The sequence below is a fragment of the Homo sapiens genome, chromosome X (genome assembly GCF_000001405.40).
Source record: "Homo sapiens chromosome X, GRCh38.p14 Primary Assembly".
NCBI classification, from domain to species: Eukaryota; Metazoa; Chordata; class Mammalia; order Primates; family Hominidae; genus Homo; species Homo sapiens.
This window is the reverse complement of record NC_000023.11, coordinates 31,068,485-31,088,490: the sequence shown is the minus strand read 5'-3', so window position 1 is coordinate 31,088,490 and position 20,006 is coordinate 31,068,485. Positions and strand designations below refer to the sequence as shown.

General features: G+C 42.7%; 1 protein-coding gene across 1 annotated transcript; it reads left to right on the top strand.

Moving 5' to 3' along the window:
• Positions 16,450–17,258, top strand: FTHL17 (ferritin heavy chain like 17). Its single transcript, NM_031894.3, has one exon. It carries the CDS (start codon positions 16,538–16,540, stop codon positions 17,087–17,089), a length of 552 nt encoding a protein of 183 aa, NP_114100.1. The 5' UTR covers positions 16,450–16,537; the 3' UTR covers positions 17,090–17,258.

The following is a 20,006-nucleotide window of genomic DNA, read 5'->3' as shown; positions in this document are numbered from 1 at the left end:
GCCAGGATGCCATTCCATTGCAGGGCACACTCACACTCACTCACATTGGGACCATGTAGACTTGCCAATGAACCTGACGTGCACAACTTTGAGATGTGGGAGGAAACCACAGTACTCAGAGAAAACCCATGCAGACTAGAGAGAACATGCAAACTCCACACAGGCATTGGACCCCGCCGGGAAGTGATTTTTTTTTTTTCTCATTGAGGTTATAATCAAGCGATGTCAAAGAAAGATGTTATTCGAAGACCTGAAGTTGCAAGTTGTCAGAGCTATGGGCACAATACTCTGGGCTCAGTGCTCCACAGAACTCTGTGCTAGAGAATATAGGAAACATAACTATACAAATCATTCAGAGTGTTCACCAAATACTTTCTGCTTGCCACTTTCCAGGCAAGTGGTAAGGTGGTATTTCCCTGTCGCCCTTGAAGTCAGACCAGTGGATTTTCTTTGGCCAATGAAATGATCAGAAATGATACACATCACTTTCCAGTGGAAGCTTAAAGAGCCAGTGAGCAATTTGCTACATTTCCCACTGCTTCAGTGATCACAAAGTGTGTGTTGAGATGAAGCCCTATCAGTTTGGATCCCTGTGTGGCAATTAGCAGAGCTTCTTATTGATGCACATTGGCCACCCAGTATAAGCAAGACCTGCACTCCATGACCCTGGAAGTGGGTGCCTCCTGAAATTTTGAATCCTAGGCACTTCATTTGCCTTGCCCTATTCCTGGCCTTGAGCAAGAATTAACCCCTTATTGGGTTCAGACACTGAGATTGGTGCAGTGCGGGGTGGCGGGGGTGCAGGGGACTTATGTATTTGTAACTGAAGCACGCTGTAGCCCATTCTGATAGATAAAATTCCTCTCCACTGGACTGGAATGAGGAGAATAGACAGACTCCACCACTGGTGGTTCTAAAATGTGCCTGAGCACTCCATGACCTGGAGACTATGGCTTTCAGAAATAATTTGTTTTTATTTGTAAGTAAGCCAGGACATTTGGGGAAATAGAACCCTATTAAATAATCAAATTAAGCGCAAATATTCCTGTATGTGACAGGCAGAGCCAGAAGACTAAAAAATGAGCAAGTTAATGACATGATTGGGTATTGTTCCAGAAGAAAGTGACTGTACATAAATAGAAAGCAAGATAATAAACAGGCTGGTCGAGATTCCAATCAAATGCCCACTCAGCTCTGCTCAGGGTCCATTAAAAGTAGTAAAATTCCGTTTACAGCATGCACGCAGATCTCCAACAAATTACCTGATAAGGTCAAATCAAGCTCTTCATGTACATAGTGACGAATATAAACAACTCTCTGTCAACATAACACAGAAAGCCTGTAATAGTCTTTATTACAGCGCTTCCGAAACCTGCCTCAAAGTATTCCATTTGTCTTCAAAATAATCACGTAATTAAGTAACATGTGGTACAAAGTTGGATTCTTAGGAATCACCTAATCATGATGAGCTTTCAGAAAAATCAAAGTAATTTCCCATTGCTCCTAATCTTCAGATACCTCATCTCATTGAAAATGACTGGCATATTATGCAGCCTTAGGCCAGGAGATTGCTCAGGTGCTTGGAGAGTGGACCTAATAAAGCTAAGACTGAGCTTAAGCCCAGGTGGGTCAGTTAGCTTCATGCAGAGAAAATCTTTTTTAGCCACCAACTACACCCAAATTGTGATCACAAGACAAATTCTGTCATATTAGCCATAAAGAAGCATGGACAAGCATGTCTCTAGCTCTCTATAACCTATTACTACTAATGGAAAAATAAGTCCTAACACCACCTCTTACTGGTTACATCATCTCTCCAGGGTCCTGCCTACAAACACGATATCTTTCAGATATGTTTTTCTCTAAAATACTACTCTTTAACAGAATAAATGCCTACAAAGGGGCTTCATTTTTCCACAGGTTCTGGACACCCTTCTTAAAGTTATTATTTTAATTGAGCCCTTTCTCCTGAACTCTGAATCACAAGTCACTTTTTTACAGAACATCTTCTCTTGGATGACTCAGAACTCAAGGGCTTGATTGAATCCCAAGTCATTATCTTCTTCCTCTGGACTGCTTGGCCTCCTGCATTGCCAGTCTCCAAGGATGGTGAACCAAAGCCTGAAATCTGGGAGTCCTAGATTCCTCTTTCTTTCATTACCCACACCCATATTCAAATTCTTTTAGCTGTCCACCTCAATGCCATTTGCATCCCATCTCTCCTCTCCATTTCCCATGTCACTCACTGCCTACTCCACATACCTCATCTTCCTAGACTCGATCATTACAAAAGTCTCCTGGCTGTTCTTTTTCTCTGCAGTCTCACACCCCTCCAGTCTACCCAGTCATTCATTCCAAAGTAATCTGTCTGAGAGAAAACATCTGATTTTGACACTCCTCTGCTTTAAAAAGACCCAAGCACCCCACTGGATAAAGAATAAATCCCAAGACCAGGCTTCTAGGTTTTCTGATTTCTCTCAAGATACCTGTAGCTCCCCCTTTATTCACATGTCATCCATCACAAACTGCTTGTCATACTCTGTACATGCATAATAGTTTTATACCTCTATGCCTTTCCTTGCATGGAATCACGAACTGGAAACTCCTTTCTTTCAAGTTCTGCCTGGGAAATTTCCACTCATAAGCTCAAATGTCACCCCTATGAGGGCACTCCTGAGCTTTCTTCATCCTTTTGCTTCCTTTGTGGACCCATTGTACTGATAAAACTATCTAACCCTGTACTTCAGTTATCTTTTGCAGCATAGCAACCCCCTCAGTTTAAAACAAAAACCATTTTATTATTGGTCATAATTCTGTACATGAACTGGCTTCATATCAGTGGTTATTCTCTTTGTTATGTCAGCAGGGCTGCAGTCATCTGGAATAGCCAAAACAGCTTACTCTCATGGCCAGCAGTTGGTATTGGCTGCTGTCTGGGAACTCAGCCTTGTTTCTCCTTCTTGTTGCCACTTCATCTGGTTAGAACATCTCACAACATGGTGACTAGATTCGGGGTAGGGGGGCATCCCAAGAGTAAAACCTCTAAGAGGAAGGAAGAAAAAGCTGCCCATTCTCTTGAAAGTCGCAGAATGCCACTTCCTCCACATTCTATTGGCAAGGCAGTCACTGGTGGACAATATAAGTGCCAACTCTAGATGAGGAATAGCACGCTCAAACAGGGAGGGGAGGAACTGCTGGGTGATCTTTGAAAGCTAGCTACCACACCATGTTGGTTTTTATTCAGTTTACCCCTAAAATTCTGGAAGAGTCTTGAGGATTGGCACTATGCTTTAATTATCTCTTTATCCACAATTCTTAGCACAAATCCTGGAACATAGTACTTAGATGCTTAGTACTGATGTTTGCTGATGTACTTAGTACTGATGTTTCTTCAGATGTTTGCTGACTCTATGAACCTAATTAAATCAGATCAAATCAGCCCATAGGTTTTGAGCACTTATTCTGTGCTAATCTGTCTAGTTGATTGTTGTGGAGTTGAAGATAGGGAGTTTCCCACCCATGAGCTTATGGGTCGGGGACAACATTGCACTAAAGGGACACAAAGGAAACGAGAAGATTAATAGTTCAAGGCAATTACAGTCAAGGCGTCACTGGGCAGTCCATGACTGATTGCCGTGCTAGTTGTGTGGGCACTAATCCCTTTAGATCTTTAGAGGAGGCTGAGTTCACTTTAGACAGAGAGGTTTCAGGTAGAAGACAGGGTTGGATCTGAGTCTAAATGGCAAGCTGGGATCTAGAATGGGAGATAAATATGGCCAAGGCGGAATACCAGAAGCAATTATGTGGAGATGGGACCACACAAGCTGCATTACATAGTACGTTGCCACACACAAAATATAAATTGTGAAATTCTGTTTTCAAAAGAAGCCTTGCTATATGCACGCTCTAGTAACTAAACAACAGTAGTCAAAAATGTGAGTTCTTTTTGTTGTTGCTGTTCAAATTTCCAAAAAATTTCTTTTATTTTTTTCTTTTTGACTTTTAGGTTCGGGGAGTGCACCTGCAGGTACAAACCTATATGGGTAAACTGCATGCCACTGGGGTTTGGTGTATGAATGATCCATTACCCAGGTAGTGAGCACAGTACTAGATAGTTTTTCAAACCTTGCCCACCTCCCACCCTCCCCTCCAGTAGGCCCCAGTGTCTATTGTTCTCATCTTTGTGTCCTTGTGTGCTCAATCTTTAGCTCCCACTTATAAGTGAGAACATGCAGCATTTGGTTTTCTGTTCCTGTGTTAACTCACTTAGAACGATGGCCTGCAGCTGCATCCATGTAATTCAAAGGACATGATTTCCTTCTTTTTTATGCCTGTGATACAACGTGTATATGTATCACATTTTCTTTATCCAATCCATTGATGATGGGCATCTAGGTTGAATCCATACCTCTGCTGTTGTGAACAGCACAGTGATGAATATACAAGTGCACACGTCTTTTTGGTAGAATGACTTCTTTTCCTTTGGCTATATACCCAGTAATGGGATTACTGGGTTGAATGGTAGTTCTGTTTTAAGTTATTTGAGAAATCTCCAAGCTGCTTTCCACAGTGAGTGAACTAATTCACATTTCCACTAACAGTGTATAAGTGTTCCCCCTTTCTCTGCAACCACACAGAGAAAGGGGGAACACTTTTTAATAATACCCCCCGCCAAATGTGGATTCTAAACAACTTAAAAAAAAACTAGGATAAATGGGTAAAACATGCATGGCAGAGATTTTATTATTCACCAAATATCACGTTTTCTCCTGCACTTCCCAGCCTCCCTTGCAGGTGGTTTGAGCTGAAGTGCATATGACTTCTGGTCCAAGGCAGTAAAGAGCAAGAGAAAAGTTTCCATGTTTCCTCTTTCCCTTCTGTGCAGTTGGAAGTAAAGAATTCTGAGATGGCAGAACTGCCAGATGGAATTTTAGCCTGCATCTATAAGTTAGCCACTGGTGGACAACCATAAAAGAGAGTCATTTTAGTTGCCTCAGACTGTGATGTAAGCAAGAAATATTTTCTTGGGGGGTGGAGCCAAGATGGCCGAATAGGAACAGCTCCAGTCTACAGCTCCCAGCGTGAGCGACACAGAAGACGAGTGATTTCCGCATTTCCAACTGAGGTACTGGGTTCATCTCAATGGGGAGTGTCGGACAGTGGGTGCAGGACAGTGCGTGCAGCGCACCAAGTGTGAGCCGAAGCAGGGTGAGGCATCGCCTCACCCAGGAAGCGCAAGGGGTCAGGGAATTCCCTTTCCTAGTCAAAGAAAGGGGTGACAGACGGCACCTGGAAAATCAGGTCACTCCCACCCTAATACTGCGCTTTTCCAATGGTCTTAGCAAACAGCACACCAGGAGATTACATCTCGTGCCTGGCTCAGAGGGTCCTATGCCCACGGAGCCTCACTCATTGTTAGCACAGCAGTCTGAGATCAAACTACAAGGCGGCAGCGAGGCTGGGGGAAGGGCGCCTGCCATTGCCGAGGCTTGAGTAGGTAAACAAAGCAGCAGGGAAGCTCAAACTGGGTGAAGCCCACTACAGCTCCAGGAGGCCTGCCTGCCTCTGTAGACTCCACCTCTGGGGGCAGGGCATAGCCAAATAAAAGGCAGCAGAAACCTCTGCAGACTTAAATGTCCCTGTCTGACAACTTTGAAGAGAGTAGTGGTTCTCCCAGCACGCAGCTTGAGATCTGAGAACGGACAGACTGCCTCAAGTGAGTCCCTGACCCCCGAATAGCCTAACAGGGAGGCACCCCCAGTAGGGGCAGACTGACACCTCACACAGCTGGGTACCCCTCTGAGACAAAACTTCCAGAGGAACTATCAGGCAGCAACATTTGCTGTTCACCAATATCCACTGTTCTGCAACCTCTGCTGCTGATACCCAGGCAAACAGGGTCTGGAGTGGACCTCCAGCAAACTCCAACAGACCTGCAGCTGAGGGTCCTGACCGTTAGAAGGAAACCTAACAAACAGAAAGGACATCCACACCAAAACCCCATCTGTACATCACCATCATCAAAGACCAAAGGTACATAAAACCAGAAAGATGGGGAAAAAACAGAGCAGAAAAACTGGAAACTCCAAAAATCAGAGCACCTCTCCTCCTCCAAAGGAACGCAGCTCCTCACCAGCAATGGAACAAAGCTGGACGGAGAATGACTTTGACGAGTTGAGAGAAGAAGGCTTCAGAAGATCAAACTACTCCGAGCTAAAGGAGGAAGTTCGAACCCATGGCAAAGAAGTTAAAAACCTTGAAAAAAGATTAGACGAATGGCTAACTAGAATAATCAATGCAGAGAAGTCCTTAAAGGACCTGATGGAGCTGAAAACCACAGCACGAGAACTACGTGACGAATGCACAAGCCTCAGTAGCCGATTCGATCAACGGGAAGAAAGGGTATCAGTGATGGAAGATCAAATGAATGAAACGAAGCGAGAAGAGAAGTTTAGAGAAAAAAGAATAAAAAGAAATGAACAAAGCCTCCAAGAAATATGGGACTATCTGAAAAGACCAAATCTACGTCTGATTGGTGTACCTGAAAGTGATGGGGAGAGTGGAACCAAGTTGGAAAACACTCTGCAGGATATTATCCAGGAGAACTTCCCCAATCTAGCAAGGCAGGACAACATTCAAATTCAGGAAATACAGAGAATGCCACAAAGATACTCCTCGAGAAGAGCAACTCCAAGATACATAATTGTCAGATTCACCAAAGTTGAAATGAAGGAAAAAATGTTAAGGGCAGCCAGAGAGAAAGGTCGGGTTACCCACAAAGGGAAGCCCATCAGACTAACAGCTGATCTCTTGGCAGAAACTCTACAAGCCAGAAGAGAGTGGGGGCCAATATTCAACATTCTTAAAGAAAAGAATTTTCAACCCAGAATTGCATATCCAGCCAAACTAAGCTTCATAAGTGAAGGAGAAATACAATACTTTGCAGACAAGCAAATGCTGAGAGATTTTGTCACCACTAGGCCTGCCCTAAAAGAGCTCCTGAAGGAAGCACTAAACATGGAAAGGAACAACTGGTACCAGCCACTGCAAAAACATGCCAAATGGTAACGACCATCAAGGCTAGGAAGAAACTGCATCAACTAACGAGCCAAATCATCAGCTAACATCATAATGACAGGATCAAATTCACACATAACAATATTAACCTTAAATGTAAATGGGCTAAATGCTCCAATTAAAAGATGCAGACGGGTAAATTGGATAAAGAGTCAAGACCCGTCAATGTGCTGTATTCAGGAAACCCATTTCACGTTCAGGGACACACATAGGCTCAAAATAAATGGATGGAGGAAGATCTACCAAGCAAATGGAAAACAAAAAAAGGCAGGGGTTGCAATCCTAGTCTCTGATAAAACAGACTTTAAACCAACAAAGATCAAAAGAGACAAAGAAGGCCACTACATAATGGTAAAGGGATCAATTCAACAAGAAGAGCTAACTATCCTAAATATATATGCACCCAATACAGGAGCACCCAGATTCATAAAGCAAGTCCTTAGAGACCTACAAAGAGACTTAGACTCCCACACAATAATAATGGGAGACTTTAACACCCCACTGTCAACATTAGACAGATCAACGAGACAGAAAGTTAACAAGGATATCCAGGAATTCAACTCAGCTCTGCACCAAGCGGACCTAATAGACATCTACAGAACTCTCCACCCCAAATCAACAGAATATACATTCTTTTCAGCACCACACCACACCTATTCCAAAACTGACCACATAGTTGGAAGTAAAGCCCTCCTCAGCAAATGTAAAAGAACAGAAATTATAACAAACTGTCTCTCAGACCACAGTGCAATCAAACTAGAACTCAGGATTAAGAAACTCACTCAAAACCGCTCAACTACATGGAAACTGAACAACCTGCTCCTGAATGACTACTGGGTACATAACAAAATGAAGGCAGAAATAAAGATGTTCTTTGAAACCAATGAGAACAAAGACACAACATACCAGAATCTCTGGGACACATTCAAAGCAGTGTGTAGAGGGAAATTTATAGCACTAAATGCCCACAAGAGAAAGCAGGGAAGATCTAAAATTGACACCCTAACATCACAATTAAAAGAACTAGAAAAGCAAGAGCAAACACATTCAAAAGCTAGCAGAAGGCAAGAAATAACTAAGATCAGAGCAGAACTGAAGGAAATAGAGACACAAAAAAACCTTCAAAAAATCAATGAATCCAGGGGCTGGTTTTTTGAAAAGATCAACAAAATTGATAGACTGCTAGCAAGACTAATAAAGAAGAAAAGAGAGAAGAATCAAATAGATGCAATAAAAAATGATAAAGGGGATATCACCACCAATCCCACAGAAATACAAACTACCATCAGAGAATACTATAAACACCTCTACGCAAATAAACTAGAAAATCTAGAAGAAATGGATAAATTCCTGGACACATACACCCTCCCAAGACTAAACCAGGAAGAAGTTGAATCTCTGAATAGACCAATAACAGGCTCTGAAATCGAGGCAATAATTAATAGCTTACCAACCAAAAAAAGTCCAGGACCAGATGGATTCACAGCCGAATTCTACCAGAGGTACAAGGAGGAGCTGGTACCATTCCTTCTGAAACTATTCCAATCAACAGAAAAGAGGGAATCCTCCCTAACTCATTTTATGAGGCCAGCATCATCCTGATACCAAAGCCTGGCAGAGACACAACAAAAAAAGAGAATTTTAGACCAATATCCGTGATGAACATTGATGTAAAACTCCTCAATAAAATGCTGGCAAACCGAATCCAGCAGCACATCAAAAAGCTTATCCACCATGACCAAGTGGGCTTCATCCCTGGGATGCAAGGCTGGTTCAACATATGCAAATCAAAAAACATAATCCAGCATATAAACAGAACCAAAGACAAAAACCACATGATTATCTCAATAGATGCAGAAAAGGCCTTTGAAAAAATTCAACAGCCCTTCATGCTAAAAACTCTCAATAAATTAGGTATTGATGGGACGTATCTCAAAATAATAAGAGCTATCTATGACACACCCACAGCCAATATCATACTGAATGGGCAAAAACTGGAAGCATTCCCTTTGAAAACTGGCACAAGACAGGGATGCCCTCTCTCACCACTCCTATTCAACATAGTGTTGGAAGTTCTGGCCAGGGCAATCAGGCAGGAGAAGAAAATAAAGGGTATTCAATTAGGAAAAGAGGAAGTCAAATTGTCCCTGTTTGCAGATGACATGATTGTATATCTAGAAAACCCCATTGTCTCAGCCCAAAATCTCCTTAAGCTGATAAGCAACTTCAGCAAAGTCTCAGGATACAAAATCAATGTGCAAAAGTCACAAGCATTCTTATACACTAATAACAGACAAACAGAGAGCTAAATGATGAGTGAACTCCCATTCACAATTGCTTCAAAGAAAATAAAATACCTAGGAATCCAACTTACAAGGGACGTGAAGGACCTCTTCAAGGAGAACAACAAACCACTGCTCTATGAAATAAAAGAGGATACAAACAAATGGAAGAACATTCCATGCTCATGGGTAGGAAGAATCAATATTGTGAAAATGGCCATACTGCCCAAGGAAATTTACAGATTCAATGCCATCCCCATCAAGCTACCAATGACTTTCTTCACAGAATTGGAAAAAACTACTTTAAAGTTCATATGGAACCAAAAAAGAGCCCACATTGCCAAGTCAATCCTAAGCCAAAAGAACAAAGCTGGAGGTATCACACTACCTGACTTCAAACTATACTACAAGGCTACAGTAACCAAAACAGCATGGTAATGGTACCAAAACAGAGATATAGACCAATGGAACAGAACAGAGCCCTCAGAAATAATGCCGCATATCTACAACTATCTGATCCTTGACAAACCTGACAAAAACAAGAAATGGGGAAAGGATTCCCTATTTAATAAATGGTGCTGGGAAAACTGGCTAGCCATATGTAGAAATCTGAAACTGGATCCCTTCCTTACACCTTATACAAAAATTAATTCAAGATGGATTAAAGACTTAAATGTTAGACCTAAAACCATAAAAACCCTAGAAGAAAACCTAGGCAATACCATTCAGGACATAGGCATGGGCAAGGACTTCATGTCTAAAACACCGAAAGCAATGGCAACAAAAGCCAAAATTGACAAATGGGATCTAATGAAACTAAAGAGCTTCTGCACAGCAAAATAAACTACCATCAGAGCGAACAGGCAACCTATAGAATGGGAGAAAATTTTTGCAACCTACTCATCTGACAAAGGGCTAATATCCAGAATCTACAATGAACTCAAACAAATTTACAAGAAAAAAACAAACAACCCCATCAAAAAGTGGGCAAAGGGTATGAACAGACACTTCTCAAAAGAAGACATTTATGCAGCCAAAAGACACATGAAAAAATGTTCATCATCACTGGCCATCAGAGAAATGCAAATCAAAACCACAATGAGATACCGTCTCACACCAGTTAGAATGGCAATCATTAAAAAGTCAGGAAACAACAGGTGCTGGAGAGGATGTGGAGAAATAGGAACACTTTTACACTGTTGGTGGGACTGTAAACTAGTTCAACCATTGTGGAAGTCAGTGTGGCGATTCCTCAGGGATCTAGAACTAGAAATACCATTTGACCCAGCCATCCCATTACTGGGTATATACCCAAAGGATTATAAATCATGCTGCTATAAAGACACACACACACGTATGTTTACTGTGGCACTATTCACAATAGCAAAGACTTGGAACCTACCCAAATGTCCAACAATGACAGATTGGATTAAGAAAATGTGGCATATATACACCATGGAATACTATGTAGCCGTAAAAAATGATGAGTTCATGTCCTTTGTAGGAATATGGATGAAGCTGGAAACCATCATTCTGAGCAAACTATCGCAAGGATAGAAAACCAAACACCGCATGTTCTCACTCACAGGTGGGAATTTAACAATGAGAACACTTGGACACAGGGTAGGGAACATCACACACTGGGGCCTGTTGTGGGGTGGGGGGAGGGGGGAGGGATAGCATTAGGAGATATACCTAATGCTAAATGATGAGTTAATGGGTGCGGCACACCAACATGGCACATGTATACGTATATAACAAACCTGTGCAGTGTGCACATGTACCCTAAAACTTAAAGTATAATAAAAAATAAAAAGAAAGAAACGTTTTCTTCAGCCATTGAGATTTTAGTTTTTTTTTTTTTTTTTGTTACTGAAGCATAGCTTAGCCTAGCCTGACTATTATAGTCAGGCTAGTATTCTCTGTGAAGGAATTGAATGTCATATAATACAGATTATTCAGCCTCTATTTAGAAAAGATAATAAACAAAGGAAACTTTTAAAATACCTTTTTGGCTATCTGAAATTGAAATTGAGGGTTATATTTTCCTTCCTACAAACAAATAATTAAGAGGTGTCAAATTAAGTAATCAGCATGTATAATCTCTTGTGTACATTGATTGGGCCCACTGACACAGTGCTGTGCAGAGCACTCTGTGATAGCTTTAATCATGGGCAACAGAAGGTAGGCAGAGAAGGACAAAGCTTTACTTGAAATAAATAAAGGTTTACTTGAGATATTCCTCAAATCTTATTAAGTCAACATCTTCCACAACCAGACTTTTAAACATGGTTACTAACAAGTAGAACCCCTGCTTCATCTTACCTCATCCTCATTCTAATGAATCTACTAATGAGATGAGAGGTAATCAAAACGCTAGTCACCTAAGGAGAGACGGAATCCAAAGGCCAGAGAAATCCACAAGCTACAGCACTTCGGGGGTCCGAGGCGGGCGGATCACGAGGTCCGGCGGATCATGAGGTGGGCATAGATCAAGACATCCTGGCTAACATGATGAAACCCCGTCTCTACTAAAAATACAAAAAATTAGCCAGGCGTTGTGGCACGCGCCTGTAGTCCCAGCTACTCGGGAGGCTGAGGCAGGAGAATCGTTTGAACCCGGGAGGCAGAGATTGCAGTGAGCTGAGATCATGCCACTGCACTCCAGCCTGGGTGACAGAGCAAGACTCCATCTCAAAAAAAGAAAAGAAAAGAAATCCATAAGCTAGAAAGCTGGAGCCTGAATCTTGGGTGGCAGTCCCACCTATGCTGTTATTATTTTGGCCCGCAACTATCCTAAGTCAGGTACTTTATTTCTCCCATCAGTTCCATTGATCCTCTGGCCTGACGGAACGTCCAGCTACACACTGGTTTCTGGGACCCCATGAATTTCTTAGGCTGTGCATTAAACTTGAGCCAAAGAATACCTGCTCTTTGTAGTAATGTTTGCAGAAGGCCTATCCTGAGAATGGTCCTACTGCATCCAGGGAGCAAAATGTATAAAAGGGAAATAAAGGCGCCTCTTAATTATCTGCCCTGAAGAGATGGAGCCAAGAGAAAAAATACCTCAACTTCACTCCTCCCCTGCCCTCCCATATCCTGCCAGTGCCTCCCGTTGACTGAATGCAACTAGAAGCCAGACAGCACAAGGGACCTAGGGGTGCAGTACATACAGGTCAACCTCCCCCTCCCAGTGTGCCAAGTAAGATGGAGAAAAGCAGAGAGTAGTCTTAGAGAGGTAGATGGAGATTATTCAGCACACTGAATAGAAATGAAAAGTTATAACCTTAGAAACAATTCCTATTTAACTGACGAATATCAGCCATCAACTTACATACAATGGGCATGTCTAAGTTCTGAGGGTTTTCCTTTGCTCCTCAAGACAGTGATTCTTCTTTTTTCCCCCAAAATCAGAACAGCAAGGAATTAGAGACTGGAAAGAGCATTTTCTTCTTTAGAATATGGTATGGGTGTGAGTGTTGGACGTCTCAGTAGTGTCCAACCAAATAGGAGCAACCATTGTCCTACGGCCTTTGTGCTAAAAAGTTGTCCCATAGTAGGGCCAAGAAGAATGCATTAGAGCGTCCCTACATCTGATCACCAGCTGGAAGGAAACTTCTCTGGAAGATGAAGCCCATGGCCCAGTCCTGGATACTCCACACTCTTAGTATCTGTGGATCCGAACACCCCTTCCAGGGGTATGATTCAGGGAGCACAAAAGTGCTGATGAGAGGATCCTTCATCCTGGCTCCAAAAGCTCAGGTTCCTACCTCTTTCCCAGGGTTAACTTTACTCAGACCATGAACCTCAGCCTGTCAAACTCCCATCTGAGTCAGTCAACCTTCCACCCCTCAAATCTCTGTTAACTACATTCTCTGCCTGGAAACTCTCATCACTTCCCTGGTTCTCAGCTGGTTCCAGTTTTCTACAGACCTTTACTGGTCACCCCTACTTCTCTATCCTCCCCAGTTTGCATCAGGCCAGCCTCAGCCCCACTGTGGCTACAGTGTTCTGCTGGTGAGGTACCTCTGTGGCCTGCTCCCTGGATATCCACTTCCTCTGCTAGTTTTCGTTGGTCTCCTACAGCCCTGGACTACTCCCTGCCTCCTTCTCCTCAGAGAGGCTATCTTTCCATAGTCCATATAGAATTCCACAGTCAGGAATTCTATGCCTTTAGGTCCTAAGTAATTTTCTGGAATCATATCTCAGGTGAGCAACCCATAAAAGTGCTCACTTTACCAAGTCAACTTCCCTGGGCTTCAGTTGTGTTCCTGGTCGGGTGGGGGTGGACCTGGGGAGTGCTAAAGAATAATTACGAGGAAAAAAGTAAAATCATGACTCTCATATAAATATAAAATATGTGCATGAAACATTTTATTTAACTTATTAATTAATGAGGAAACTAGTAAGATGTTACAAATGGCTCAAAGGAGAATTCAAAGAGCCATACATATGTAGGAATAAGGAATATTGAAATAAGGAATGTACAAATAGATGCAAAATAAGTCAAAAATCAATTGCATTTCACCAGACATTTATTTGCATTTCTGTGGACAAGAATTGTTTGCATTATTATTAGTTTTCTACAATCTGAAGAGTTAGAAAATAACTCTAAGTCAATGAAAGATGGAGATAACCCAGAAAGGTACTCTAAAAACCACATCCAGGAAATTGTTTTTGCTGATTTTAAAGTCTTTCACAATTTTTTGTGATAGGAGAAAGGTCTCTTCCCTTTCCCACAAAAAACTACATCTAGTATAATAAATAGCACAAGCATTGTCTGTGATGTGAGAACAGGAATTTTTGCTTGTGGAGTCCAATATATGTGTCCTCTTTATCTCTAAACCTTGATAAGGGATAGAGGCCTCCTCCCTCTTAGAGCATTGCTACTCAGAATGTGGTCTGGCATCACCTGAGATGCTTAGAAATTCTGATTTGGAGCCCCAGCCTAAATCAAAATCTTTATTTTTAAACGTCCTGGACCCAAATAAATTAAAAGACATCCCATGTTTATGGACTAGAAGAGTTAATATTAAGATACCAATATTCCCACAAATGACTTACAGGTTTAATGCAATCCCTAACAAAATCCCAGTAGGCTGGTTTTTAAAAAAAAAAAAAAAAAAAAAAACGAAATTGACAAGCATATCCTAAAATTCATAGGAAATTCAAGGGACCCAGAATAGCCAAAGCAATCTCTGCAGAAGAGCAGAGTTGGATGACTATACTTCCCAATTTCAAAACTTACTACAAAGCTATAGTAATCAAGCCAGTGTTGTGCCAGCATCAGTTTAGACACATAGATTGACAGAACAGAATTGGGAGTCCCGAAATAAACCCATACATCTATGGTCAATTGATTTTTGACAAGTGTGCCAAGACCATCTAGTGGAGAAAGAATGGTCTTCTCAACAAATGGTGCTAGGACAACTGGATATCCACACACAAAGGAATGAAATTGGACAATGACCTCATATCATATACAAAAATTAACTCAAAATGAGTTAGAAACTTAAATGTAAAAGCTAAAACTGTAAAATTATTCAAAGAAAACCTGGACATAAATGTTTATGACCTTGAATTAGGCAATGGTTTCTTAGATAGGACACTAAAAGCACAAGTGACAAGAGAAAAACAGAAAAATTGAACATAATTAAGAACTTTGTGCTTCAAAGGACACCATTAAGAAAGTGAAAAAAAAAACAGAATGAGAGAAAATATTTGCAAATCATATATCTGAAAAAGGACTGGCACACATAATATATATAGAACTCTTAAAACTCAGCAATAAAAGTACAAATAACCCAATTTTAAAATGGACAAAAGACTTGAATAGAGTTTTCTCCAAAGAAGATACAAATGACTATGAAAAGATGCTCAACATCAATAGCCATTATGGAAATGCAAATCAAAACCACAGTGAGATACCACTTTACATCCACTAGAAAAACAACAAAGACAATGACAGTGTTGGAACCTTCATACATTGTTAGTGGGCATGTAAAATGATGAGGGGACTTTGGAAAACAGTCTAGCAGTTCCTCAAAATGTTAAACAGAGTCTTAACATATGACCCAGCAATTCTAGTCCCAGGTATATACCCAAGGGAGTTGAAAACATATGTCTATTATAAAAATCCTCATAGCTGCATTAGTCATAATAGTCACAAAATGGAAACAACTCAAATGCCCATCGACTGATGAATGAGTAAATAAAATGTGGTATATCCATACAATGAAATATAATTCAGCCATAAAAAAGACAAAAGTTAAAGACATTATGCTAAATGAAAGAGGCCATATAAAGGCCGCATATAGTATGATTTATTTGAAATGTCCAGAGTAAGCAAATCTCTAGAAACAGAGATTTCATTTGTGGTTGTCGGGCCAGTGAGGAAGGCGAGATGGGCAGTAACTACTCATGGGTAGGGGATTTCATTTTGGAATAAGGAAAACGTTCTGAAATTAGATTTTTGGTGATGGGGTGATAGTTACACAACTTCATGAATATACTAAAAACCATGGAAATGTTTCAGAGGGTGAATTTTATGGCAGAGGAATTGTATCTCAATAGTGCAGTTTGTTGTTGTTGTTTGACACAAGTCTTGCTCTGTTGCCCAGGCTGGCGTGTAACGGCACAATCCCAGCTCACTGCAACCTCCGCCTCTTGGGTTCAAGCAATTCTCCTGCCTCAGCCTCCCGAGTAGCTGGGACTACAGGTGCGCGCGCCAGCATGCCTGGCTAATTTTTTTTGTATTTTTAGTAGAGACGGGGTTTCACCATGTTGGTCAGGTTGGTCTCCATGTCCTGACCTCGTGATCCGCCCGCCCCGGCCTCCCAAAGTGCTGGGATTACACGCGTGAGCTACCGTGCCCGGCCTAGAGCAGTTATTTTTAAAAGATGGTCTTGAAACATTCAGCGCCAAGTGGCCGGGATTTCCGACGGAAGTCAGCGCTTGTGCCCCCACCCCCTTGCCCCGCAACTCTGTCCCCCGCCGCCCCTCCCCCCACCGACAGAGCGCGCTCCTCCCTAACGGTCGCCACTGCCCACTTCCACTGCCCACTTCCGGTTTCATCGCACACCCGCCTTTCACTATCCGCCATTCTTGTCACCTCAGCTGCTGCCCTCGCTACCGCACCGACTTCGCCCGTGTGCTCGCCTGCACTTGCGCTGCCCGCCATGGCCACCGCCCAGCCGTCGCAGGTGCGCCAGAAGTACGACACCAACTGCGACGCCGCCATCAACAGCCACATCACGCTGGAGCTCTACACCTCCTACCTGTACCTGTCTATGGCCTTCTACTTCAACCGGGACGACGTGGCCCTGGAGAACTTCTTCCGCTACTTCCTGCGCCTGTCGGACGACAAAATGGAGCATGCCCAGAAGCTGATGAGGCTGCAGAACCTGCGCGGTGGCCACATCTGCCTTCACGATATCAGGAAGCCAGAGTGCCAAGGCTGGGAGAGCGGGCTCGTGGCCATGGAGTCCGCCTTCCACCTGGAGAAGAACGTCAACCAGAGCCTGCTGGATCTGTACCAGCTGGCCGTGGAGAAGGGCGACCCCCAGCTGTGCCACTTCCTGGAGAGCCACTACCTGCACGAGCAAGTCAAGACCATCAAAGAGCTGGGTGGCTACGTGAGCAACCTGCGCAAGATTTGTTCCCCGGAAGCCGGCCTGGCTGAGTACCTGTTCGACAAGCTCACCCTGGGCGGCCGCGTCAAAGAGACTTGAGCCCAGATGGGCCCCACAGCCACGGGGTCCCTTCCCTGGGTCAGGCCACTAGGCGGGGCGTGCATGTTGCCCTTTCAGAACGTTCTCTTCAGTTTTATCTTTCAGTTTTACCATTGTTAGCAAAAAAGTTATCTGGTTCTCAAAGCAATAAAGGTGTCCATTTGATACACCTGCAACTCTCACCTTTTAGGAATCAGGGCAAATCCCCATGCAGGTTTAAAGTAGGTATCCAGCAGTCTCTCCACCCACCCCTGCCCCATCTGCATGCAGCTCAGGATTTGCAGGGGTGGAGTGGAATGGTATTTTATGGGCCCCTGGAAAACACATTAGTCTTCCCTTTGTAAACTACCAGGGTATGTGGGGTGGGATGGGGTGGGGTGGTCACTCTTGGGCCCTGGTGGCTGTGGGTGCATGGGCACGGTAAAGTGTAAAACGTGGTCTGGAATTCATCATAGTGGTTGCCTCTGGGGAAGAAGTGAAGGAAATGGGATTGGGCAAGGATTAAAATAAACAAAGGGTCTTCAACTTTACATGAAAACTTGTAGTTTATTAAAATATGCCAATGTTAATGTTTGTGGATTCTGAGTAGCAAGTGGGGGCTCTGGGTGACAGCACAGCAGGGTACTTCTTTGGCAAGCTCACTTTGGGTGACAGTTGTAGTGGGAGCCTTAAGCTGGCTTCCCCATAGCCAAGGGGCTGACAAACTAAAATGGCACTTTGCAAGTCCAAGTCCTTTTATTTACATTGTTGTACTTTGTTTTTACAAGAATCTCAGGAAGAAGGAAGGACAAGTATCATGACTTTATTAGTGACAAAAAGGGAGGCCATACAGGCAAGAAGTTGTGGAATCTGGACATGAACCTCGATCTTCTGATGCCATGTTCCTTTTTCTTTCTGTTACCCTGCAAGTATATCAACGGGTTAAAGAAGATTGTGTGGGTAGACTGGGAATCTAGCCAAATAACCAGCCCTGGAAGGGAGGGAAATCCCCCAACACTCTTAAAGACAGCCCTGATCACTGGAGTCTCTCTCCTAATTACAGGTGTGCCTTCCAGCCTAGGGTGGGGACAGCTTCTAAACCTCAGCCAAAATCCTTCTCTTATGAAAGAAGCCTTCAGAATAAGTAACAGACTATATGAGGTAGTAGGGCACCTCACAGGAAGGCAGCCAACACCTGTACACTTGAACCCCTCTGTTCAGGTACTCTCCCTGAAGCAGACAGTCACACTGTTGCCTGAGTTGGCACTGAATACCTAAGAAGGCCTTAGGGCTGGAAATCCCCAGAGTGCACCATCCATCCACCACATGTCTTCACTGTCAGTGGCTTCTCTTCAAGCACAGCAGGTAAATGGGGTGGCTACAAAACACACATGCTCTATCTGCAAATCTAGCTCATCTCAAAGCCTGGACAGAGAAGCCCTGTACGTTTACCATGCACAGTGTACTGTAATCTATACATTCCCTGTTGTGGTCTCTTTACTGAGATCTACAGCTGACGTCAGACTTGTTCCATCTTGGCCACAAGGCCCCCTCTTTATTCCATTTTTCCCTTTCCTGTGATTCAGAGACACCCCAGGATAATGCAGAGAAGTCTACTTAGAACTACATCCTTTTATTTTACCCGGAAAAGCAGGATTTCCTCACCTGCAAGACTCAAAGAGGATTGTGATTACACTCCAGCGCCTATCACATGCCACTACTTGTAGTGTCACATTTCACAGCTTTTCTTTCAGAATCCCTGGCTGGGAAGTCTAGGTAAAGCGGCAGCTCAATTGTTTCTATTCTTGTTCCACTGCAACAAAAACATGAATGTCCTAAATCCCCTCCTTTTGGTTCAGTTTTAGGGTCCACAAACAGCCTTTTGAATATGTGGGGCAACTGTGGGAAAAACATGAGAAACATTTAGACCAAGCTGGCCCCACTGGCACTTTTCAATGTCTTGACCTTATCCATCGCTGCAAGTCTCCTCATTTTCCCACCCTCCCTTGCCACATTCCTCTCAAAAGGAGTGAGCAAACTTCTTACAGGTGGGCCACATTCCCACATACACACAGCCTTCCCAATTCTTTGAGAGCCTGACTTTCAATACTTGAGAGTGAGTTGTGCCTCAGTCTTCCAGCCCTGAAAAATACCATCCTGAGACATACAACTGGATGCTTGTCAGTCATTCGTTGTGCTCTATTGCTTGGGGGAATGATGTCCGAAACAGTGGCTGTTGCTGTGGGTACCAAAGTCTCAGGCAATGATAGTATCGGGACTGAGGGAAAATGGTAAAATTGATAACTTCATCTCAGACTCAAACACGGATTCAAATTAACTGTGTTGAATAATTTACCTCTGGGGAAAAAACCCTCACTCTATCACAAAAGGAAGTTTCTTAATAGATGGTTGTCGCTGACAACTTGTACTTCATTTTCCAGAAAAAGGAAAAGTTTTTTTTTTCTTAGAAATGTGTGTGACAAGCAGTACAAAGCACCCATTAATTTCTCCTGAATCTTCTCTAACCTGGAAATTTGCTCTACATTTCTGATTTTTAAATTCTCCTTTAATTTTGCTTTTCATTTACAAGCAATTACAGTTTCTTTTCACAAGCCTGAGAGACATATCTAATCAAGTATTTAGTAGAGAAAAGCATTGTCTGTAACCTTGAAAGTGATACTATGTTTCAGATTTTAAAATAACAATTTTTGTTTTACAAATAATTTGATGTTGCTGTTGTTGCTGTTGTTATTGCAGTCCTGAGTTCAGGTTCAGAGAAATATTGATGGAGAATTTGCCTCAGGAAAGCTGAAAGGAAAGGTGAAATGAGAGTAATCATATTAGCAAAGTGTGAGGACACCTGAAAGGTAAAAGGAAAGAAATTTACACCTTGATTCACTAGTCAAGGGAGCTATAGGAGTGGGATGAGGTATAGTAA

Coding starts and splice junctions, on each gene's coding strand:
- FTHL17 (NM_031894.3), top strand. CDS start 16,538: ATGGCCACCGCCCAGCCGTCGCAGGTGCGCCAGAAGTACGACACCAAC.